Source organism: Homo sapiens, chromosome 7, assembly GCF_000001405.40.
Source record: "Homo sapiens chromosome 7, GRCh38.p14 Primary Assembly".
NCBI classification, from domain to species: domain Eukaryota; kingdom Metazoa; phylum Chordata; class Mammalia; order Primates; family Hominidae; genus Homo; species Homo sapiens.
The window spans coordinates 24,619,061-24,645,948 of NC_000007.14; the positions used below are offsets into that span (position 1 = coordinate 24,619,061).

The following is a 26,888-nucleotide window of genomic DNA, read 5'->3' on the forward strand; positions in this document are numbered from 1 at the left end:
TTGGATGACTTTTGCTTTTCCTTTTATTCGTTTCTGGATTTAATTACCTTGTAAATTTTGGTCTTTCGTGATCCATAATAGTTTACTCATACTTTCCTGCTCTTTGCCCTTTTTTAATGGGAGTATTCTTCCGCTTGATCTTTCTGTGTATCACAATTTAATCTTTGTTTTTGTTTTTGTTTTCCTCTCTTTTTATTTGGTAGTAATTCTGTTTCTCTGGAGGCTCATGCTTTTGTTTGTTGAATTTGGTTAGTCTAATGCATGCTGCTAGTTTTCATAAGTGATTGGTGATTCATGGTTTATTCATATTTGTAACTGAAGAGTCTAGATTAAATCTATTAATTTTTCTCTAGCCCATGTAAGAATCCCATTTATGGCTGGGCGCGGTAGCTCACGCCTGTAATCCCAGCACTTTGGGAGGCCGAGGTGGGCGGATCAGGAGGTCAGGGGATGGAGACCATCCTGGCTAACACGGTGAAACCCCGTCTCTACTAAAAAATACAAAAAATTAGCTGGCCGTGGTGGTGGGTGCCTGTAGTCCCAGCTACTCGGGAGGCTGAGGCAGGAGAATGGCGTGAACCTGGGAGGCGGAGCTTGCAGTGAGCCGAGATCCCGCCACTGCACTCCAGCCTGGGCAACAGAGCGAGACTCTGTCTCAAAAAAAAAAAAAAAAAAGAAAGAAAAAAGAATCCCATTTATGTGTTATTGAATCTAGGGTCTGATTAAAATGTTTATCTCCTCTAGTGATTATTGAGAAGGAGTGGAACTTGTAGGTAACTTACTTTTTGAGTTTAGACTCTCCTTTCTTCCCGAAATCTCTAAGTAAATGGGAAAAACTTCCCTGTTTTTCTGGCTCCTATCTTAACTTTGTAAGGCTCCCATTCCAGAGAGCCTCTTATTTTATATATTAAGTTTTTACATATACTAGAGTTGTCTTGTGTTTATCGATATCTGAATAATTATTATAGATTTATGTTTTAATATTTTATAGGACTAAATCATTTTGCTACTTTAAAAAAATCACGAAAGTACATTATTTGAAGTTTGGAGAAGAAAGGGATTTGGTAACAAAGGACAGCCATTTCCATTTTAAGCAGCTAAACAGCAGGAGAGATTTCTGTAAGAAGGTACCAGCTCAGATTCCATTGTTCATCATTTTGGTGAGAGACTGCAGAATCACTTGTACTAAGTTGGGATTAGGCCCATCTCTCATTATTTGTTATAATTTTGTCACATGGTTTTTCTTTATCGTTTCATATGCTTTTAGGATAATATAGTTTAAAAGAACTATGTATTGTATTTTGACTATAAATCCACCAAATATACAAACTAATTTGAGAATGATTGACAGCATTATAATATTTGAGATTTCTTTGCCAGGACAAGGGATGTTGTCAAGTTTATCCATTTCTAGATTAAATTCCATATGATTAAGAGTCAGTAACAACTTATGAAGATCTTTAAAATAACCAAAGATCTATTTCACAATTTCTTTCACTTTTCTACTGACTTAAACACCAATTTGAAAAAAAAACAAGCACTTCAAGAATCAATACAGAAGGTACATTTTTTAAAAATCTTCAGTACAACTGGCGTTATGAACACTGACTAAACATTTGATAACATTAAGGAATTACTGTTAATTTGCTAGGTATTGCTAATTTGTTACTATTGCTAACAGTATTTTGGTTATGTTGTTTAAAAGGAGTGCTGATCTTTGAGACATATACATTGAAATAGGATTTCTGGAATTTGCTTCAAAGTTATATAAGGTAGAAAGTATATAGGAGTGTGAAACAAGATTGGCCATGAGTTGCTAATTGTTGGAGCTGATCATTGTGTGGTTTATTATATTATTCTGTTTTCTTCACATATGTTTGAAGTTTTCCATAATAAAAGCTAAAAATAAAAACAAATGTACAATGTCAAAAGAAAGAAAAATAAATAATGGGAAGTACTGCTAACCACATTTATAGCCACAGGACAAAAGTACTTTTAAAAATTGATTCTATTGTTCCCTGCCCACTTAAAGGTAACTTGTTGACCTTAAGCAAAATTACTAAGTAGCTTAGTTTATATTCTTTACTTCTTATGTCATCTTTCTTCATGTTAATCCAATACTTGTTTTCCTTCTCCTTTGTCAAGTGCACATTGTCCTCTTGTTCGCTTCTTTACCTTCAAAAATTGTCAGTCATCCATGAAACCCCCATGGATGAACCTGTCCAAGTTAACATACAAGAGAATGCTTTGTGAGGGAGATCAGGGATAGAAGACAGGAAATAGGTCTGATAGAGTATTAGAAAAATATTTGAATATTTAGAAAAATACTGGTAAAAATGTGAGAAGCTTGTTGGAACATTTGGAAAAAACTTAAGAGTTCCATATGAAAAACACTATTGATTTTGTTTTTAAAAATTGAGAGTCTGAAGATAGGGAAAGTAAAAGCTGAAACCTCTAGTATTCTAACAGAAAATAGATAATGTCCAAAATGGGTCAGTCACAAAGTAGCAATATTAGCATATTATCCAGAAAGAAGAGAAACTACGAACAGATCTGATTAGAAGAAACAATTAAATTCCTAGTAATTACTTCTGGGAGTAGGATAAGTTGGGAGAAGGGTAAGCAGCATGGAACAGAAAACTGTATTTTATAAGCCATTTAGTACTACAATCTGACTTTTAACAGTGTTTATATTTTACTTTAATAAAAATAAAAGTTAATATTAAAAACGACTTCTGTATTTACTGTTGATTTATTCTATGAGCTAAGAGATAAAACTAATAAAATTAAGATTATAATATTGAGTGAGGGGAGGGGTCTAGCGTCACTCTCTAACATGTACATATGTTGTCCCAGCACCAGCTGTTGAAAAAACTATTTTTTTCTTTATTGAATTGTCTTGGCACATTGTCAGAATCAATTGACCATAAATGTATGGATTTGTTTCTAGCCTGTTGTTTAGTTGTATGTATGTATATATGCTAGTTCCACACAGTCTTGATTACTGTAGCTTTTTAGTAAGTTTTGAAATTGAGAAGTGTGAGGTCTCCAACTTTGTTGTTCTTTTTGAAGACTCTTTTGGCTATTCTGGTTTTTTTGAGTTTCCATATGAATGGAATGAGCTTGTCAATTTCTACAAAAAAAGAAAAGGCAGTTCAGATTTTGATAGGGAGTGTATTAAACCTGTAGGTTAATTTGGGAATTGTTGCCATTTTAATAATAAGTCCTCTGATCCATGAACATGGGATGTCATTCCCTTTATTTAGATCTTCTTTCATTCTTTCAATGATGTTTTATAGTTTCATTGTACAAATTTTGTACTACTTCTGTTACATCTATTTCTCAGTATTTTATTGTCTTTGATGCTACTGTAAAAGGAATGGTTTTCTTAATTTCATTTTTGGATTGTTTGTCACCAGTGTATAGAAATACACTATGTGTAACAACATATTGGTTGTTTTGTATTAATCTTGTATACTGAAACCTTGGTGAACTCACATATTAATGATAATAAATTTTTGTATATTAGGATTTTCCATATACAGAATCATATGATCTGCAAATATAAATTGTTTTACTTATTGCTTTCTAGTCTGGATGCCTTTTCTTTATTTTCTTTTTTCTTTTTTTTTTTTTTGCTTAACAGCCCTGTCTAGAACCTCTAATCCAAAGTTGAATAAAAATGCCAAAAGTGTACAGCCTTATTTTTTTCCTTATTAGGAGTAAAAGCACCATTAAGTATGATATTAGCTGTGGGTTTTTCATAGAAGCCTTTTATCAGAGAGAAGAATTTCCCTTCTATTTTTAGTTTGGTGAATGTTTTTATTATGAAAGAGTTTTGGGTTTTGTCTAATGATTTTCTTTGTCTGAAGTGTCATTTGGTTTTGTTCTTGGTTTTATTAATAGAGTCTGTTGAGTTTTTATCTGTTGAACCACTCGTTCATTCCTGGGATAAAGTGAACTTGGCCATTATGTACAATTGTTTGTATATGTCACTGGATTCAGTATTTTGTTTAAGATTTTTGCATTTGTATTTCTAGGAGAGATTGGTGGTAATTTTTTTGTGTGTGATGTTGTTGGGTTTAGTATCAGGGTAATTGGTCTCATAGAATGAGTTGGAAGGTGTTTCCTTCTCTTCCGTTTTTTTTTTTTTTTTGAAGGAGTTTGTGAAGTATTGGTTTTAATTCTTTTTTAACTGTTTGATAGAATTCAGCAGTGAAGGCTGGTTCTGAGCTTGTGGGAAGTTTCTGATTCCTAAATTAGACTTTTTCCTTCTTATAAGTCTGTTTGAATTTTCTGTTTTTTCTTGAGTAATGTTTTTAAATTTGAAAAATACAGAGCAAGTGCAAGGTTGTAAGTATGTGTAAGGTAGTCTGATAAAGTCCAAATTACATATAAAAATCTATCCTGCTATTAATTCCTGGGAAGTCAATTTGAAACTCATACTGTTTAACAATTTCATTTTTTAAAATGTTATTTTTCCAAAGAGTATTCTTAATGTCTAGTTGCATTATTAAAATAATCTTACTCCATAACGGCTTGAAATTTAAGGGTTTTTGTTTGTTTGTTTGTTTGTTTGTTTTTATGTTGCTTTTATCTCAGCAGCAATGCAGCAAGTCTTGGAAAACCTTACGGAGCTGCCCTCGTCTACTGGAGCAGAAGAAATAGACCTAATTTTCCTCAAGGGAATTATGGAGAATCCTATTGTAAAATCACTTGCTAAGGTATATAGATTTATTCATAAGATTACTGAATTATTTTGGACTTAGTTTTTATAGAGATATTTTCAGATATTACTATTTTAGAATTTGGTTGATATACATTAGGTTTAGTTAGCAAATAAAAACATTCAGCACATAATGAAATCTTAACATATGCAAAAATTAGACCATTTTTCTCTTTTCTACTCTGACTTTAAATACAGGATGAAATGACTCTTAGTTTTGGCGTAATGCCTTTAAGGTTTAGAGAAATCATACCTGCACAGTTGTGTTTTAACAGGGCCTGTGAAAAAGATCCTGATCCTATTTCCATTTTCAACAATGGCAAAGTACTGATTTTCTTCTTTTGCATTAGACTGTGTACCTACTTTTCATGTAAGTTCTTGACTTCCTTTATCTAGTGCTTTTTTGAAATTTTGTTATTTGTTGCATAAGCCTGGTATTTTAAGTCTGTTTCCCTAGTCAACTCTGGAGTAATCTCTTTAACTCATTGATAAGTATACTTTACAACCATTTTTATTAAATAATTATTATATGCTAAAGCTTAATGTATTACCTATTTTACAAACCTGCTATACCATTCTTTAGAGTTCCCCCAAATGACTCTTGCTTTCAAGAATCTATGCCACATGCCTTCTTTGATCTTTTCTTCATAGAGCCATCTTGTTCCTTTTGGTTTTTGCTCTATGAGAATGTTGATTTCACTCTCTTCTGTGATTTTTTTCTTAGCCAAAGTCTGTTACTTGTTTTCTTCCAAGACCTCTGAAAAATACCTTTTACAAGGTTTTCTATTAGTGAGAGTGAATTAATGATGCAGATTCTTCTTTTTTTTTTTTTTTTTTTGAGAGGAAGTCTCACTTTGTCTCCCAGGCTGGAGTGCACTGGCACGATCTCAGCTCACTGCAACCTCTGCCTGCTGGGTTCAAGTGATTCTCCTGCCTCAGCCTCCCGAGTAGCTGGGACTACAGGCGTGTGCCACCACCCCTGGCTAATTTTTGTATTTTTAGTAGAGGAGGGGTTTCACCATGTTGGCGCAGGCTGGTCTCGAACTCCTGACCTCACATGATCCACCCACCTTGGCCTCCTGGGATTACAGGCATAAGCCACCAGGCCCGGCCAATGATACAGAGTCTTCATTTTATTTACGTGTTTACTTATGCTAAAATCACATGGTATAAAGGCCCTTAAGTAGAAACGAATCCATTTGCAGATCATCCAACTGGAATTTTTATTTTAGTCATTTTTTACTATAGCCTTTCCAATGTTCATTAGATATTTTTATATTTTAATAATAATGTGCAGGGTATTGTTTCAGATTCAAACTTGTCATAAACATTAATTCCTACTGTTTTAAAGTAATAGCTCCAGGGTCTGTTGAAATTAGTAGGAACTATTTAAATTTCTGTTAAATAGTTTACCTGGGTTCTTATTGTACTTTTAAAATGGTTTTTTACTCTTTTCTTGATGTTTTTCTGTTGATTGTCAGTTATTGTCCATGTAGCTGTTACACTGTTATCTCCATGTTTATTTAATTTATAGCTTTTGATCTATAGATTTTAAAACTATATAATGCACTAACAAATGTTTATAGTTTGCAAAGGTCTTTAAAATACACTGTTTTGTCTTCACAACAACTTTATGAATTTAAAATATACTGTTTTATCTTTCAACAACTTTTGAATTGAAAAGTAAGACTCAGTCAATAAGTGTTGTGTCTAAGGTCTCTCTGCTAGCAAAAGACAGATGAGGTTTAGGCCATGTGTTCTATCATCAAATTCTGTGTTCTACCTACTCCAACACCGGGTGATGGGGTATGTGTATGTTTGTGTATGCTTATTCTTAAAAACTGGTGGGAGTAAAAATTTACTGATTTTATGCCATTGATGTTGGTCTTTCAGAGGATTATCTTGTTCATTATTCTTAACAGTTGCAATGGTTGGATGACTTTTGAGCAGGTAAGGTGCTACTGTACTCTTTTGATGATAAAAATGAAATAAAGCAAAGAGTTATCCAATAATATGCAACATTCAGGCAGATTCTTAATAAGGAAAAACAATGGTAGTTCAGTATTCCTATAATATAGGTTAAAAAAAATCCCAGGAATAGGGGAGGAATTCCGCTTCCAAGAAAGAAATAGTAAGTCACAGCAGCCTAGCACTCTCAGTATAACAAATAGAAGGAAAAAAGAGGCACACATTGCTAGATATGCAGAGAGGCAGAAATATCTGGCCACTAATCATGAGAAAAACAACAGAGGCAGTCCCATAAATGGTTCTTTTATTAGCATTTATACACAAGGATTTGAAAATAACTTATTAATGTACTTTTAGTAGAAGAAAAGGGAAAAAAACATGTAAAATATTTTTAGAAAATCAGAATAAAAAATAATCAAATGAACATTTTAGGATCAAAAATACAGTATCTGAAATTAGTTCACTGATAGAAGACTAGACACAACAGAAGAGGGAATAAGTGAATTTAAAGATAGGTTATTAGAAAATACTCAAGCAAAAACTAATAGAGAAGAAAGAATGAAAAAAAGATAACAATATGTGAAACATACTCAAAATATCTAATATATGTAGTTTGTATTCCAGAAAGAAAGGAGAGAGGGAAGAAGAAATATAGGTAAACCCTATACTTTTGCATTTCACTTTATTCCCCTTTGCAGTTACTGCCTTTTTAATAATCAAAATGGGCAAAATAACCAGCTAGCATTATAATGACGGGATCAGATTCACACATAATATTAACCTTAGATGTAAATGGCTAAATGCCCCAATTAAAAGACATAGACCAGCAAATTGGATAAAGAATCAAGACCCACCAGTCTGCTGTATTCAGGAGACACATCTCATGTGCAGTGACACACATAGGCTCAAAATAAATGGATGGAGGCAGATTTACCATACAAATGTAAAGCAAAAAAAAAGGGATTGCGATCCTAATCTCTGATAAAACAGACGTTAAACCAACAAAGATCAAAAAAGACAAGGGCATTACATAATGGTAAAGGGATCAATGCAACAAGAAGAGCTAACTATCCTAAGTATATATGTACCCAATATAGGAGCTCCCAGATTCATAAAGCAAGTTCTTAGAGACCTACAGAGACTTAGACTCCCACACCATAATAGTCGGAGATTTTAACACCCCACCGTCAATATTAGACAGCTCAACAAGACAGAAAATTAACAAGGATATTCAGAATTTGAACTTAGCTTTGGACCAAGTGGACCTAATAGACATCTACAGAACTCTCCACCCCAAATCAACAGAATATACATTCCTCTCAGCGCCACATAGCACTTATTCTAAAATGGACCACATAATTGGAAGTCAGTCCTCAGCAAATGCAAAAGAACGGAAATCATAACAAAGAATCTCTCAGACCACAGTGCAATCAAATTAGAACTCAGGGTTAAGAAACTCAAAACCATACAACTACATGGAAACTGAACAACCTACTCTTAAATGACTACTGGGTAAATAATGAAATTAAGGCAGAAATAAATAAGTACTTTGAAACCAATGAGATCAAAGACACAATGTACCAGAATCTCTGGGACACAGCTAAAGCAGTGTTTAGAGGGAAATTTATAGCAGTAAATGCCCACAGGAGAAAGCAGGAAAGATCTAAAATCAACACCCTAACATCACAATTAAAAGAACTAGAGAAGCAAGAGCAATTAAATTCAAAAGCTAGCAGAAGACAAGAAATAACTAAGATCAGAGCAGAACTGAAGGAGATAGAGACATGAAAAACCCTTCAAAAAAACAATCATTGAATCCAGGAGCTGGTTTTTTGAAAAGATTAGCAAAATAGATAGACCGCTAGCCAGACTAGTAAAGAAGAAAAGAGGGAAGAATCAAATAGATACAATAAAAAATGGTAAAGGGGATACCATCACTGATCCCGCAGAAATATAAACTACCATCAGAAAATACTATAAACACCTCTCTGCCAATAAACTAGAAAATCTAAAAGAAATGGATAAGTAATTCGTGGACACATAACACCCTCCCAAGACTAAACCAGGAAGAAGTCAAATCCCTGAATAGACCACTAACAAGTTCTGAAATAGACAGTAATAATAGCCTACCAACCAAAAAAAGCCCAGGACCAGACAGATTCACAGCCAGATTCTACCAGAGATACAAACAGGAGCTGGTACCATTCCTTCTGAAACTATTCCAAACAACAGAAAAAGAGAGACTCCTCCCTAACTCATTTTATGAGGCCAGCATCATCCTGATAACAAAACCTGGCAGAGACACAACAAAAAAGAAAATTTCAGGCCAATATCCCTGATGAACATCGATGTGAAAATCCTCAATAAAATACTGGCAAACCGAATCCAGCAGCACATTAAAAGGCTTATCCACCACGATCAAGTTGGCTTCATCCCTGGGATGCAAGGCAGGTTCAACATGCACAAATGCATAATATAATCCATCACATAAGCAGAACCAATGATGAAAATCACATGATTATCTTAATAGATGCAGAAAAGGCCTTTGACAAAATTCAGCCCCTCTTCATGCTAAAAACACTCAATAAACTAGGTATTGATGGAACATATCTCAAAATAAGAGCTATTTATGACAAACCAACAGCCAATATCATACTGAATGGGCAAAAGCTAGAAGTATTCCCTTTGAAAACTGGCACAAGACAAGGATGCACTCTCTCACCACTCTTATTCAACGTAGTATTGGAAGTTCTGGCCCAAGAGAAGGAAATAAAGCGTATTCAAATAGGAAGAGAGGAAGTCAAATTATCTCTTTTTGCAGATGACATATTTAGAAAACCCCATTGTCTCAGCCCAAAAGCTCCTTAAGCTGATAAGCAACTTCAGCAAAGTCTCAGGATACAAAATCAGCGCGCAAAAATCCCAAGCATTCCTATACAGCAATAATAGACAAAAAGAGAGCCAAATCATGAGTAAACTTCCATTCACAATTGCTACAAAGAGAATAAAACACCTAGGAATACAACTTACAAGGGATGTGAAGGACCTCTTCAAGGAAAACTACAAACCACTGCTCAAGGAAATAAGGACACAAACAAATGGAAAAACATTCCATGCTCATGGATAGGAAGAATCAATATCATGAAAATGGTGATACTGCCCAAAGTAATATATAATCTCAATGCTATTCCCATCAAGCTACCATTGACTTTCTTCACAGAGTTAGAAAAAACTACTTTAAATTTCATATGGAACCAAAAAAGAGCCGGTATAGCCTAGACAATCCTAAGCAAAAAGAACAAAGCTGGAGGCATCACGCTACCTGACTTCAAACTATACTACAAGGCTACAGTAACTAAAACACCATGGTACTGGTACAAAAACAAATATATAGACCAATGGAACAGGACAGAGGCCTCAGAAATGACATGACACATCTACAACCATCTGGTCTTTGACAAACCAGACAAAAACAAGCAATGGGGAAAGGATTCGCTATTTAATAAATGATGTTGGGAAAACTAGCCATATGCAGAAAACTGAAACTGTACCCCTTCCTTACACCTTATTACAAAAATTAAGTCAAGATAGATTAAAGACTTAAACGTAAGACCTAAGACCATAAAAACCCTAGAAGAAAACCTAGGCAGTACCATTCAGGGCATAGGCATGAGCACAGACTTCATGATTAAAACACCAAATGCAATTGCAACAAAAGCCAAAATTGACAAATGGGATCTAACTAAAGAGCTTCTGCACAACAAAAGAAACTATCATCGGAGTGAACAGGCAGCCTACAGAATGGGAGAAAAATTTTGCAAGCTATCCGTCTGACAAAGGGCTAATATCCAGACTCTACAAGGAACTTAAAAATTTACAAGAAAAAAACAACCCCATCAAAAAGTGGGCAAAGGATATGAACAGACATTTCTCAAAAGAAGACATTTATGCAGCCAGCAGACACATGAAAAAATGCTCATCATCACTGGTCATTAGAGAAATGCAAATCAAAACTGCAATGAGATACCTTCTCACACCAGTTAGAATGGTGATCATTAAAAAGTCTGGAAACAACAGATACTGAAGAGGATGTGGAGAAATAGAAATACTTTTACACTGTTGCTGGGAGTGTAAATTAATTCAAGCATTGTGGAAGACAGTGTGGCAATTCCTCAAGGATCTAGAACTAGAAATACCATTTGACCCAGCAATCCATTATTGGGTATATACCCAAAGGAGTATAAATCATTCTACTATAAAGACACATGCACATGTATGTTTATTGCAGCACTATTCACAATAGCAAAGACTTGGAACCAACCCAAATGCCCATCAATGATAGACTGGATAAAGAAAATGTGGCACATATACACCATGGAATAGTATGCGGCCATAAAAAATGATGAGTTCACGTCCTTTGCAGGGACATTGATAGAGCTGTAAACCATCATTTTCAGCAAAATAACACAGGAGCAGAAAACCAAACACCGCATGTTTTCTTTTAAGTGGGTGTAAGTTGAACAATGAAGAACATATGGACACAGGGAGGGGAACATCACACACCGATCCCTGTCGGGGGTTTGGGAGGCAAGGGGAGGGGGGATAGCATTAGGAGAAATACCTAATGTAGATGATGGGTTGATGGGTGCAGCAAACCACCATGGCACATTTGTACTTATGTAACAAACATGCACGTTCTGTACATTATCCCAGAACTTAAAGTATAATAATAATTTTTAAAAAAAAGAAGAAGAAGCTGCAACAAGTTACCCAGAAGATCTAGCTGAGATCATTGATTCCAGTGGCTACACTTAACAACAGATTTTCGATGCAGACACAGCAGCTTTGTTTTGGAAGAACATCTAGAGCTTTCACAGCTAGAGAGAAGTCAATACCTGCCTTCAAAGGACAGGCTGACTCTTTGGTTAGGAGCTTATGCAGCTGATGACTTTAAGTGGAAGCCAATGCTCATTTACCACTCTGAAGATCCTAGAGCCCTTAAGAATTATGCGAATTCTACTCTGCCTGTGCCCTCTAACTGGAACAACAAAACCTAGCTGACAGCACATCTGTTTACAGCATGGTGTGCTACATATTTTAATCCCACTGTTGGGATTTACTGCTCAGAAAAAAAGATTTCTTTCAAAATACTACTGGTTATTGACAACACACTTGGTCACCCAAGAGCTCGGACAGAAATGTACAAAGAGAGGAATGTTGTTTTCATTCCTGCAGACACAACATCTCTTCTACTCATGGATTAAGGGGTAATTTTGACTTTCAAGTCTTAGTTAAATACATTTCATAGGACTACAGCTGCCATAGATTTCGATTCCTCTAATGGATCTGGATAAAGTAAATTGCAAGCCTTCCAGAAAGGGTTTACTATTCTAGATGCCATTAAGAACATTTGTGATGCATGGGAGAAGGTCAGAATATCAACATTCACATGAGTTGGGGAGAAGTTGAGTCCAGCTCTCATGGATGACTTTGAGGGATTCAAGACTTCAGTGGAGGAAGTCACTTTAGATGACAAGTGACTTTCACTTAGATGAAAGATGACACTTTCTTGACTTTAGAAGACAAGAAAACAAGAATTAGAAGTGGAACCTGAAGATGTGACTACATTGCTGCAATGTCATGATAAAACTTGAACAGATAAGGAGTTGCTTCTTGTGGAGGAGCAAAGAAAGTGGTCTCTTCAGATTGAATCTATTCCTGGTGAAGATGCTGTGAAAATTGTTGAAATGATAACAAAGGATTACAAATATTACATAAAGTTTAGGTGATAAAGCAGGAGCAGTTTGAAAGAATTGACTCCAATTTTGAAAGTTTTGCTTGGATAAAATGCTCTCAAACAACATTGCATGCTATGGAGAAATCTTTCATGAAAGGAGAGTCCATCAATGTGGCAAACCTTATTATTGTCTTATTTTAAGAAATTGCCACAGCCACCCAAGCCTTCAGCAACCACCGCCTTGATCAGTCAGCAGCCATCAGCATCAAGACAAGACCTTACACAGGCAAAAAGATTTTGACTCTGTGAAGGCTCTGATCCTTAGCATTTTAACCTTTAAAGTATTTTTAAATTAAGGTATGTATATTGTCTTTTAGACATATTGCAGTTGCACACTTAATAGATCACCTTGTCATGTAAACATAACTTTTATATACACAGGGAAACAAAAAAATTTGTGTGACTTACTTTGTTGCAGTATTTGCTTTATTGTGGTTATCTTGAGCAGAACCTGCAGTATCTCTGAGCTATGCCTGTACAGCTAGTAGAATGTTGAAACCTTCAACTATAATAGTAGATTAACCTATCTCTTTTTGCAGTTCTGTCAGATTTTACCTCCCATATTTTAATGCTCTTTTGTTAAACACACATTCACTAAGATTGTTATATCATCTCAGAGAATCAACTCTTATCGTTATGTAATGCCTCTCTTTGTTCCCAATAATTTTTCTTGATCTGAAGTCTGCCCTGTCTGAAATTAATATAGCTACTCCAGTTTTCTTTAGTTAATGTTAGCATGATACACCTTTCTCCATACCTTTAGTTTTAATCTCTCTATATCTTTGTATTTAAAGTAAGTTTCTGGTAGACAACATGTAATTCGATCTTTTTTAATTCACTCTGACAGTCTCTTTGTTTTTTTATTTTTAGACGGAGTCTTGCTCTGTTGCCAGGCTGGAGTGCAGTGGTGCCATCTTGGCTCACTGCAACCTCCGATTCCCTGGTTCAAGCAATTCTCCTGCCTCAGCCTCTCAAGTAGCTGGGATTACAGGCACGCCCAGCTTATTTTTGTATTTTCAGTAGTGACTGGTTTCACCACGTTGGCCAGGGTGGTCTCAATCTCCTGACCTTGTGATCTGCCCACGTCGGCCTCCCAAAATGCTAGGATTACAGGTGTGAGCCACCGCATCCAGCCAACAGTCTCTTTTAAGTGCTTTAGATCACTGATGTTTCATGTTTATTGATATAATTCGATTAACGTCTTTCATACTGTTACTGTTTTGTATTTGTTGCCTGCTTGCCTGCCTGCCTTCCTTTTTTCCTTGTGTCTCTCACTCATTTTGTTTTCTCTGCTTTAACTAAACATTGTATGTGATTTCAATTTTCTCTCTCTTAGCATGTTAGACTTTAAAAAAAAAACTTTTTAGCAGTTCTCCTTGATTTTGCAGTATACGTTTGCAATCTAATACACTTTCGAATAACATCATACCACTTACAGTGCAACTACCTTATAAAATAACACTGTTTCCTGTCCCATATAATATTGCTGCCATTCATTTATTCATAAGCTATAATAATCAAATACATTGTTGTGAATAAAACTATTATCTATTAAATCAATTAGGAATAAGAAAAATAAAAGATTTTATTTTACCTTTTTTTTCTCTAGCACTCGTCTTTATATCAACCCAAGTTTTGCACTTACACCATTTTCCTTCTTTCTGATGAATGTCTTTTAACATTTCTTGCAAGACAGGTGTAGTAGTAACAAATATTCTCAATTTTTGTTGAAAAAGTCCTTTTTTTTTTTAACTTTTTTATGATAACTTTACTGGATAGGTAATTCCAGGTTGGTGGAGTTTTTTTTTTTTTTTTTTTCTTTCAACATTTAAAGATTTCACTCTATTCTCTGCTTGCATGTTTCCTGAAGAGTTCAGTATAATTCTTATGCTTGCTCCTCTGCAGGTAAGGTTGCCCCCCCCCCACCCCGATGTTTCAGTATTTTGTTTTTTATTTTCTGCAGTTTGAATATAATATACCTAGACTTAGAATTCGGGGTTTTTAATCCTGCACAGTGTTCTATGAGTCTCGTGGATCTGTGGTTTGGTGTCCATCATTAATTTAGGAAAATTCTCAGTTTCAGATTTTGTAGCATTTTGGATTTTAGATTTTTGGATTGGGGATACTCAACCTATATTATGAATATTGCTGCCATAAACATTCTTGGACACACTTTTATGTAGACGTAGTTTTTTATTTCTCCTGTGTATATAAGTAGGTAACTGTGTTTCATTGAGGAACTGCCGGACTGTTATCCATAGTAGCTGTACCATTTTTTATTCCCACCAGTAGTGTACAAGAGTTCTAATATCTCTGTATCATCTTCAACACTTGTTATTATTTGATTTTTTGGTTCTTAACTGTCCTAGTGGGTGTGAAGTGGTATTTTATTGTGGTTTTGATTTGTGTTTCCCTGGAGACTAATGATATTGAGCATCTTTTCATGTGCTTATTGACCATTTGTACATATTTTTTGGAGAAATATCTGTTTAGATTCTTTGCCCATGTTTAAATTGAGTCATATTTATTTTTATTATGAAGTTGTGAGAGTCTTTCATGTATTCTGGGTACAAGTCTTTTATGAGATATATCATTTGCAAATATTTCTCCCATTATATAGATTATCTTTTTACTTTCTTCTTAGTGCCTTTTGAAGCACAGAAGTTTTTGTTTTTTGTTTTTTATTTTTATTTTTTTGAGATGGAGTCTTGCTCTGCCGCCCAGGCTGGAGTGCAGTGGCACGATCTCGGCCCACTGCAAGCTCTGCCTTCTGGGTTCATGCCATTCTCCTGCTTCAGCCTCCTGAGTAGCTGGGACTACAGGCGCCCGCCATCACACCCGGCTAATTTTTTGTATTTTTAGTAGAAACGGGGTTTCACCGTGTTAGCCAGTATGGTCTCGATCTCCTGACCTCGTGATCCATCCGCCTCGGCCTCCTAAAGTGCTGGGATTACAGTCGTGAGCCACCACGCCCGGCTGAAGCACAGAAGCTTTTAATTTGATGAAGTCCAAGTTGTCTTTTTGTCTTTTGTTGCCTTGTGATTTTGGTCTTATATGTAAGAATCTTTTGCTAAATCCATGGTCATGAAGATTTACCCCTGTGTTTCCGAAGAGCTTTATAGTTTTAGCTCTTACATTTAGGTGTTGGATCCATTTTAAGTTAGTTTTTTGTATACGATATTACGTTAGGCACCAACTTCTGTCTTTTACATGTGCTTCTCTAGTCCATTTGTTGGACTTTCAAATGGTGTTTCAGCACCATTTGTTGAAAGGAATATTTTTTCCCCATTGAGTGGTTTTGGGCACCTTTGTCTTAACATGCAACAGTTGGCCACTGACATGTGGTTTTATTTTTTTACTTTCAATTCTATTCCATTGATCTATAGATCTTTCCTTGTGGCAGCATCATGTTTTGATAACTCTTGTGTAGTACTTTTTGAAATGAGGAAATGTAAGTACTCCCATTTTGTTCTTTTTCAGGATAGTTTTCACTGTTCTGGATCCCTTTGCAACTCTATAAGAATTTTAGAATCAGTTTGTCAATTTCTATAAACATGTCACTTAGGATTCCAGTAGGCATTGCATTGAATCCGTAGTTCGTTCTGGGGAGTATTGCCATCTTAACAGTGATGTCTTCTAATCCATAAACATTTATTTAAATCTTTAATTTCTTTCAACAATGTTTTATAATTTTCAGAGTATAAATTTTGCACTTGTTTTGTTAGTTATACTCCTAGGTATTTTGTTCTTTTTGCTGCTGTTATGAATGGATTTGTTTTTTAAATTTCATTTTCAGATTTTTCATTGCTAGTGTATAGAAATATAATTGATTTTTGTATATTGATCTTATATATCTTGCATCCTTGCTGAACTTATTTTTTTATTCAAATAGTCTTTTAGTGAACTCCTTAGGATTTTCTAAATACAAGGTCATGTCATCTGAATATAGACAGTTTTATTTCTTTTTAACCTGAATGGCTTTTTTATTTTTCTTGCCTAATTGTCCTGGCTATAACCTCCAGTACAAATGTTAAATAGAAGTGATGAGAGTGGACATCTTTGTCTTGTTTCTGCTCTTAAGGGGAAGTATCTAATCTTTCACTAGTAAATATAATGGAAGTTGTGGGTTTATACTGCTATCCTATACCTTGATTTTTTGCATAAGATTTTATATCAGTACCTGTGTCACAACTTTATTCTTTGTAAATGTGACATAATATTTTATTTTATGGATATGTCAGGTTTTTTGAGTCAGCCTGCTGATATTTAGATGGCCTTTTTCTTACAAGTTATGCTGTAATGTGTAATCTTGCTACATGTTATTTTGTACATACACACACACACCTTTTTAGGATAGATCTGAAAAGAATCACTGTAAGGCCAGGCGCGGTGGCTCATGCCTATAATCCTAGCACTTTGGGAGGCTGAGGCGGGCGGATCACCTGAGGTCAAGAGTTCGAGTCCAGCCTGACCAACATGGAGAAACCCTGTCTCTACTAAAAATACAAAAATTAGCCAGGCATGGTGGCGCATGCCTGTAATTCCAGCTACTCAGGAGGCTGAGGCAGGAGAATCGCTTGAACCCGGGAGGTGGAGGTTGCAGTGAGCCGAGATCACATCATTGCACTCCAGCCTGGGCAACAAGAGCAAAACTCTATCTCAAAAAAAAAAAAAAAAAAAAAGTATCACTGTAATTTAGGTGGATATGGTGAATTTGCTTACCAGTGTATGTTCCCACTAGAAAAAATATGTCAAAGTGCCTGTCTTCTCCCATATTCTCATTAGCATGATGTGTTATCAGAATTTTTATCTCTGCCAATCTGATAAAGAGAAAAGGGATTTCATTATAGTTTTAGTTTGTACTTCTGAGTGAAGTTGTGTGTCTTTTCATATGTTTAAGAGATATTTGATACACAGTAGGTGACTATTGCAAATAACTATGTAATACATATTTCAAGATAGCTAGAAGAGAAGATTGTGAATGTTGGCATCCCAACGAAATAAATATTTAAAATAATGGATATGGTAATTACCCCATTTGATCATTATACTATGTATATACATGCATTGAAACGTCACATTGTACACCATAAATATGTACAATATGTATCAATTAGAAATATAAAATTAAATTTTTAAAGATAGGTTCCTAAATTTTTCTTTCTGTGAATTTCTTTGCTGAAACTCTTCACCCAGTTCTCTTAATGAGTTGTTGATCTTTTTCTTATTGATTTGTAGAAGTCCTTCGTAAGTAGGGAAATTAGCTTTCTGTCTTGAATATGATTTGTGTTTTGACCCTAGTTTGTCATTTGTATTTTGACTTTGTCGATTTTTGATGAGAAATTTAAAACGTTCATTAAGTTAATTTTATTGGGCCTTTTTTGAAATAATGTATGTATCTTTCAGATTTTGTGTTATAGTTAGAAAGATCCTTCCCACTCAAAGGTTATAAAAAGGTTATTGTGTATTTCCTCTGAATACTATTAAAGCCAAGCTTTTAAAATGTTGTTTTTTCTTTTAAAAATTTAACAGATTCCCTTTTCTGGTTTTTTGACATCTGTGTGGTTCTCCTGATTCTACAGATATATCTAAGAGAAGCTCAGCAGTGCTATTTAGAAGTTTCCTGAGTACCTTGATATGTAACTTATCTAATCTCGGAATTTGTATTTTGGTTAACTAGGCAATTTCTGATATGTTCTTTACTCACTAGAGAATTCCATTCTGATTTACTTACACTTACTCATCTTTTTTTTTTTTTTTTTTTCAGAGCAAAGCTCATCCTTTTTGATATAATGTATGCAGAAACAAAATAGAAATTGAGTTCTCCATTCTCTCTGTCTCATTTCTACTTTCTGCTCAAAAATTCTTTTTTATTTTTGAGTATTAGTGAGCCTGTGTTGATCTTGAGTTTTAGGTCTCTAGAATAAAAGAAGAGGGTGGTGCTTGATCACAGCCAAACTTATTTCCCATTTACTTAGCTTTTTCAAGAAATAATAAGTAACTACTACATACATAGCTCTTTTCTCAAAAGATAGAAACAAAATTTATGATATGGTCCTTGTGTTTTAGAAAGACCAGGTTTCTACACATAACAATAATATGATTGTTATTAGAAAATAATATTTGTCACTTTAGATATAGCCCACAACTTTTGTTTGCAAGCATGGTTGGAGTGTCCTTGAGTGAAATACCCAGAAGTTCTGAAAGAACATTTTCTTCTCTGAAGTTCATTTCTCAAAGGTGCAGTGGTGAATAAAATTCTCAGAACTGGATATTTAAGAAGGCTAGGCCATATTTGTATCAGCTGCAAATACTCAATGCCAGTCATAGAATGTTCTTCCAACCACTTGTGGCAAGTGAAATATATTTTTATTGAGTTATGCTAGTGTTGCAATAGTGCTCTTTAATTTAAAAAAAGAAAACAAGATTTATTTATTTAAATAGTATGTGGCTCACTTGCTCCTCTGGTTATTTTTTGTGTGTGTTTCCTTTGTCTTTTTTAGTTTGATTAGTTAAATTTAAGTTGGTACTTGCCTCTTGAAAGCTAATAAAAAAAATCTGACCTTAAAGTGAATTAGAGGTTCCAAGTTTTTGACAACATCTCAGAGCTTAAAAAGCTATATGTTAATAAATGTGGACCTGCATTTGCTTTCTTAGAAAAAGTAAAATTGATCCCAGTTGAATCCAAGTATGTTGGTTTTCCATGTTAATATATTTATAGCTACAGTTTCTAAAAAAACCTTTTTTTCTCCCTTCAATTTCTGTATTTTCTTTTTTTTTTTTTTTTTTTTTTTTTTGAGACGGAGTCTCGCTCTGTCGCCCAGGCTGGAGTGCAGTGGCGGGATCTCGGCTCACTGCAAGCTCCGCCTCCCGGGTTCACGCCATTCTCCTGCCTCAGCCTCCCAAGTAGCTGGGACCACAGGCGCCCGCCACTACGCCCGGCTAATTTTTTGTATTTTTTAGTAGAGACGGGGTTTCACCGTTTTAGCCGGGATGGTCTCGATCTCCTGACCTCGTGATCCGCCCGCCTCGGCCTCCCAAAGTGCTGGGATTACAGGCGTGAGCCACCGCGCCCGGCCAATTTCTGTATTTTCTAGTGAGATTCTCTTCTTCCATAGAACCAAACTGTGAGGCTGATATGAAAAAATCTTCAGATGTGCTTGGGTTCTTTTTCTAACATGATTCTGCCTTCTCACATGACTCTCCCCTGACCCCCAACCCCTTGCCATTAGTCTTTCCACATTCCTACTTCTCCTCACCCAATTTGGAAGCATTAGGTTAATACACATACTAAGGAATGGAGTTTTCAAGTCATTGATCATTTCTGTTCCTTTACTTCTCCTAAAGTCCTGAATTAAACCAAGGACTACTGTTGTCTAAAGTACTGTTGCTGATCATATAACATTTTCCTGAAGAAATAAATGGTCTTCATAGCTCTTACTTAGAGCAAAGGAGTGAAAGTCAAAGGGACGAGTGGTATTCTGAACCATAGAAGTATAAAATAACTGTGAGGATAGATACGGTGTAATGGAATTAACACATCTAGACTGGAAGAGCCATGCTAATCAGCAACAACTAAATTAGACTGACTGAGATGTATGTCATACATTTAAGTGAATGAGAATAATGCATCATTTATTGGATTGAATAATTAACTGCAATTTAATGTTAGAGTGGCTCTCTATATAAAGATGAAGTAAAGTAAGCTTTAATAGATGAGAGTTCAAGTCTTGGTGTTAGACTACTTGACTCTGCCATTCACCAGTAATGTGAACTCACGCAAATCACTTCACCTTTTTTTGCATCAGTTTCTTCGTCCATAGTGTGAGTATAATATACCTACCTTTGCTGAATACACACACACACACACACACACACACACTACTTAGAATATAGTATCCAACGCAGAAAAAAAAGCCCTTCAATAGATGTTAAGGTTCTTTCCTTCCTTTTTTTTTCCTTTGAAGCTTTCTTTTTATACTATGTTAAAAGAATTGGAGTATTACAAGGTTAAAGATGCTAAATCAGGTAGTGGCTTTTTATTCCAGCAAATATTTCTATCTAAACAATTGGCAATTCTAGCTTATTTCATAAGAGTTAACTAATTCTGTAGATTATTTTCTTTTTTTTTTTTCCAATGGTGATAGTCTTTTATGATAAATATTGAGTGTCCTCATCTTCTCATCCTTATCTGGCTTGTATTATATGTTCAGAAAATTACAAATTTACCCGTTTTCATTTTTTGTGGCATTTTCTAGTCTAATTTTTTTTTTTTTTTTTTTTTTTTGAGACGGAGTCTCTGTCACCCACGCTGGAGTGCAGTGGCATGATCTTGGCTCACTGCAGCCTCCGCCTCCTGGGTTCAAGCAATTCTCCTGCCTCAGCCTTCTGGGTAACTGGGATTACAGGCGTCCACCACCATGCCTGCCTAATTTTTGTATTCTTAGTAGAGATGGGGTTTCACCATGTTGGGCAGGCTGGTCTCGAACTCCTGAGCTCAAGTGATCTGCCCATCTTGGCCTCCCAAAGTGCTGGGATTACAGACATGAGCCACTGTAGTTTAATTTTTTTAATCTAAATCTCATAAAACTTCTTCCTCTATTTCAATTACTTTTGGTCTTTTGATATTTTTCTTTTTGTTTAGTAAGAGTTTTTTCTTCTTTCTCGGTATTTCATATGACTTTTAGAATTTCTTCTTTTAAGGTCTTTCTTTAAAATCTTGCTTAATATATAGCTTTCTTTTCCACTTAAGAACTTATTTTACTCCTGTGAATTACCTAGAAAAAATAGATTTAAGCAAGAAAAATTGTCTTTTAAAAATTAGAATGTTTTATTTGGACTCTGAAGGATCCACTCTATGGTAAAAATAACATCTAAAGTATGATAGTTTAGGTATCTGAAAAAGTTTAGTTGATACTGTTACCACTTGAAATGTGGATTTTTCTTTAGCAATCCTTGAAATGGATCTTAAAATATAAGATTTGCTATCTTACATGGTTTTGTTTATGAATTAAATTTTGATAATTACGCTTTTCCTGTCTTCAGAATTGTATAGCAACCATTTATCAGAAAAGCAAGGAATGCTTAAAAGTTGGAGCCGCTTAGTGTTCATTCTCAATTTGAACTTAACACTCGGCTTTACTCCTACTATGAAAGGATGATTAGAATTACTTTCGGCCGAGGGCGGTGGCTCATGCCTGTAATCCCAGCACTTTGGGAGGCCGAGGCGGGTGGATCACGAGGTCAGGAGATCAAGACCATCCTGGCTAACATGGTGAAACCCTGTCTCTACTAAAAATACAAAAAATTAGCCAGGCTTGGTGGCGGGTACCTGTAGTCCCAGCTACTTGGGAGGCTGAGGCAGGAGAATGGCGTGAACCCGGGAGGCGGAGCTTGCAGTGAGCTGAGGTCGCGCCACTGCACTCCAGCCTGGGCAACAGTGCGAGACTCCATCTCAAAAAAAAAAAAAAAAAAAAAAAGAATTACTTACTTTCTGTGACAGTGTGGTTGACGGTCTATTTTCTGTGGAAAAGATTGTGAGATTAAGAAAAAAACAACTTTACTTATAAAGACAGATGATCATTTCCCTGATTAAATTATATAGTCTTTTAAAATCCAGTTTAAGGGCCACTTGCTCTAAATTGACTTTTTTTTCCACTGATTTTCAACATTGGAAGATAGGAGCTTCCAGATTCTGGGGTTTCCAAAATTATTTTTATCATTTTAAAAAATATTAACATATAATTATTACATTCCTATTCCTTGTTTTTATTATGCTTAATCATTTATTTTAATAAAATGTAACAATAACATCTAGAGTTTGAGCCTTGACCCTAGGAGGTCGTTAGGAAATTCTCTTGGTGGTAAGGGACTGTAATAGGTTTTGTAAATAATTAGCTGACTTGTCCAGTTTTTTCATGGTTTAGTTATAAAAATGAGTTTTTCATGACTTTCAGGATAGAACTAGAGGCCAAGATTTATTATATTGCATGATATACTTACTGTAAAATCTATATATTGCCTCTGGTTGAAGTATTAAATTTGGTTTACATGAATTAAATCTCCAAGTAATATATTTTAAAACTTTACGAAAAAGAAATAAACCATGGTCTGGTGCAAATAACAAATAAGTATTACTACTTTAATATACTCTTATTTTTTCAGGCTCATGAGAGGCTAGAAGATTCCAAACTAGAAGCTGTCAGTGACAATAACTTGGAATTAGTCAATGAAATTCTTGAAGACATCACTCCTCTAATAAATGTGGATGAAAATGTGGCAGAATTGGTTGGTATACTCAAAGAACCTCACTTCCAGGTAACTTTCCCTATCACTCAACTCTCAAGTTCCCTGTATTCCCAAAGTATTCTCCTTTACTTTCCAGTTTAAGGTGATGTTTTCTTCAAAGATTATTTAGGGCTATAATAGGTAAGTATGTAAATTCCAACCTTGGTATTTTAATGTCCTCATATGCTGAGGATATATAAAGAGACATATGTAACAATAATGCTACATAAATGTACACTGTTACAGAAATACATCACAATGGATTTTTCTTTGTGCCATTAAAGAAAACAACCTTAATTCACCGTCAGACCACATGCTGGAGCCATTTTCCTCACTATGATAATGGATTTTTTTCTTCCTCATTCCCATTCTGTTTCTTAGTCAATACTTTTTAGTATTGCTTCTCAAGATTGTTGTGCAGTCAGTGACCATGGAACATAGAGAGCTGTGAAGTATAGAAACTATTGTATAACATAATCTCCACAGGTACAGAAATAAGTATGATTTTAGCAATGGCCTGTACCAATGAAGAGTTCATCAGTTTTACAAAGAAGAATGCATTTCAGAAGAGAAAAGACAGGAAAGATTTCTTGTAAACGTATAATAATTAAGACAGTGTGGTATTGGGGAAGGTGTTAGAAAAATTAACTCATTGAAAAGAATGGAAATCCCCGATAAATACATCCAGCCGTATATGGTAACTTGATTTATGACTGGGACACTGCATTTTCGTGGAAAAAGAATGGTGCTGGGATAGAATAAAGTAAATGTCACCTGCTTTCCCCTGCAAATCTTAGCACTGAAAATCAAATGGTAACAGCCTTTTGCTCTTTCTCAGCCAAAGATTTTATGTGACTCTTCAACAATGTTACTGCAAAATATGAAGGTTTATAGTGAGATGGTTCCGACATAAATTAGTGTCTTAGGTACAAAAGAAATATGGACACATATCTCAGAGACATATCCTGTGCAGGTCCCAGTTGATTGAGTCCTTATAAAGGCATACTGAGTTATTTGGACTTTATCGTAAGGACAATGGGAAACTTTAGGTGTGGAGGGGGAGATGAATAGGAAAGGAGGATGGGTTGGGTATTAACCAGGGAAAGGTCAGGTTTGTGAAATGAGATGGTTAAGTTCCAAGGCAAGAAATTATGATGGCAGTACGTATAGATAGAAATTTAAAGACTTTCAAGTTTTAATGAATAAAATCAACAGGATATAGTGATTGGTTGCATATGACAGTTGTAGAAGAGAGATGTGGGAAGTTGATAACACAATTTATGACTTAAACGATGGCTGTTGAATGAGGTAAGGAACACTAGAAGAAAATGTTTTGGACATACTTATGTTAAGGAAACTGGCCACCTTAGGTTTGTGATACATTGGAAGCATCTAGGTTTTCAGGAATGCTACTTATTATTAGTAAATATTTGTAATTTAATAAATATATAAGCACATACATTATATGAAGTGTAGCATATAAAAATTTTAGAATACCAGCAAATAAAAATACAAAAATGAAGACATTGCTTTTCTTCTACCCAGATCACTATTGTACTCTTAGCGCATATTCATCCATATTTTTCTATGCACAAATGTACATATATAATTTTTTTACTAATTTGAGATTTTGCACAAACTGTTTTAACTTACTCTTTTTTTAAGTTATTGATTTCTAATTTTCTGTTTCAGTGAACTTCCATCTCATATAATACACACACCATATTCAGACTTCTCCATTTGATACCACAATATTATTTACAGGTGGTTTGTACATATAAGTGTCCAGTTTAGGTCCATGTGTGGCAGCTGGTTGCACCATACCTTTTCCCCTTGATTATGACATTGACCTATTGAAAAGACCAGGCTATTGTCCTGCAGAATGTTCCACCCCCGGATTTGTTTAGTTACTTCCCTGTGGTGTTGATGTTATTTCTTCTATTTCCTATAAACAGAAGTTCTATCTAAAAAGTTGATGATTCAAGTTGATTATTTGGAGCTAGAATACATCTTAAGTGATACGATGCAACATGAATTAAACTGCATTAGAAGATGTGTAATACCTTTTGGCCCACCACAGGGCTGAGATTGGTCCTTTGATTAAAGGTGGTGATGGCCTAATCCTTTCTTTGATTACTGGGAAGTAATCAATTGTGTTTTTATCTTAACATTATACAAATTCTGTTCTCTATCAACCATGTACCTACTGATGAACACAAGTTAATAATCCTTGCCTAAATCAATATTTTCTTTTTTCTTTTTTTTTTTTTTTTACTTTTGTTTTAGGATTAGGGGTACATGTAAAGGTTTGTTACATAGGTAAACACATGTAATGGGGGTTTGTTGTACATATTATTTTACCACACGGATATTAAGCCCAGTACCCAATAGTTATCTTGTCTGTTTCTCTCCCTTCTCTCACCCTCCCCACTCAGGTAGACCCCAGTCTCTGTTTTTCCCTTCTTGTTGTTCATAAGTTCTTACCATTTAGCTCCCACTTACAAGTGAGAACATGCATTATTTGGTTTTCTGTTCCTGCGTTAGTTTGCTAAGGATAATAGCCTCCAGCTCCATTCATGTTGCCACAAAAGACATGATCTCATTTTTATGGCTGCCCAACCTCATTGATCTTTTGAAAGGTTTTTTGGTATTCCATGGTGTGTGTGTGTGTATATATATATATATCACATTTTCTTTATCCAATCTATCATTGACAGGCATTTAGGTTGATTTGTGTCTTTGCTGTTGTGAATAGTGCTGCAATGAACATTTGCATGCATGTCTTTATGGTAGGAAGATTTATATTCCTCTGGGTATATACCCAGTAATGGGATTGCTGGGTCAAATGGTAGTTCTGCTTTTAGCTCTTTGATGAATCTCCATACTGCTTTCTACAGTGGTTGAGCTAATATACATTCCCACCAAGAAGGTACGAGTGTTCCCTTTTCTCTGCAACCTTAACAGCATCTGGTATTTTTTGACCTTTTAATAATAGCCATTCTGACTGGTGTGAGATGGTGTCTCATTGTGGTTTTGATTTGCGTTTCTCTAACGATCAGTGATATTGAGCTTTTTTTCATATCCTTGTTGGCCACATGTATGTCTTCTTTTGAGAAGTGTCTGTTCATGTTCTTTGCCCACTTAAATGGGCAAAGAACTTGTATTTGTTTAAGGTCCTTATAGATGCTGGATACTAGACATTTGTCAGATGCATCATTTGCAAATGTTTTCTCACATTCTGTAGGCTCTTTACTCTGTTGATAGTTTCTTTTGCTGTGCAGAAGCTCTTCAGTTTAATTAGATCTCATTTGTCAATATTGGCTTTTGTTGTGATTGCTTTTGATGTCTTTGTTGTGAAATCTTTGACCATTCCTATGGCCAGGATGGTATTGCGCAGGTTGTCTTCTGGGGTTTTTACATTTAAATCTTTAATCCATCTCAAGTTGATTTTTGTGTACTATATAAAGAAGGGGCTGAGCTTCAATCTTCTGCATATGGCTAGCTGGTTATCCCAGCACCATTTATTGAATAGGGAGTCTTTTCCCCGTTGTTTGTTTTTGTCAGCTTTGTCAAAGATCAGATAGTCATAGATGTGCAGCCTTATTTCTAAGCTCTCTTTTCTGTTCCACTGGTCTATGTGCCTGTTTTTGTACCAGTATCATGCTGTTTTGGTTACTGTAGCCTTGTAGTATAGTTTGAAGTTGGGTAATGTGATGCCCCCAGCTTTGTTCTTTTTGCTTAAGATTGCCTTGGCTATTCGGGCCCTTTTTTGGTTCCATATGAATTTTAAAATATTTTTTTCTAGTTCTGTGAAGAATGTCATTGGTAGTTTGATAGGAATAGCATTGACTCTGTAAATTGCTTTGGGCAGTGTAGCCATTTTAATAATATTGGTTCTTCCTATCCATGAGCACGGGATGTTTCTCCATTTGTTTGTGTCTTCTCTGATTTCTTTGAGCAGTGTTTTGTAATTCTCATTGTAGAAATCTTTCACCTCCCTGGTTAGCTATGTTCCTAGGTAATTTATTCTTTTTGTGGCAATTGTGAATGGGATTGCCTTTCTGATTTGGCTCTTCCTTTGGCTGTTGTTGGTGTATATGAATGCTAGTG

General features: G+C 35.2%; 1 protein-coding gene across 9 annotated transcripts in view; it reads left to right on the forward strand.

Moving 5' to 3' along the window:
- The window catches only part of PALS2 (protein associated with LIN7 2, MAGUK p55 family member), a 120,742-nt gene that overhangs the window by 45,609 nt on the left and 48,245 nt on the right, over nt 1-26,888 (forward strand). For 2 of the 9 annotated variants that reach the window (XM_011515425.3, XM_017012316.3), the window contains exons 2-3: nt 4,603-4,724; nt 22,656-22,808. In XM_011515425.3, coding sequence (XP_011513727.1) covers nt 4,608-4,724; nt 22,656-22,808 — 270 coding nt within the window. In that variant the 5' untranslated portion in view covers nt 4,603-4,607. Of the gene's footprint in view, nt 1-991; nt 1,161-4,602; nt 4,725-5,078; nt 5,097-22,655; nt 22,809-26,888 lie in introns of those variants that run through there. The other 7 variants (NM_001303037.2, XM_006715738.4, NM_016447.4 and 4 more) reach the window with 6 other exon arrangements.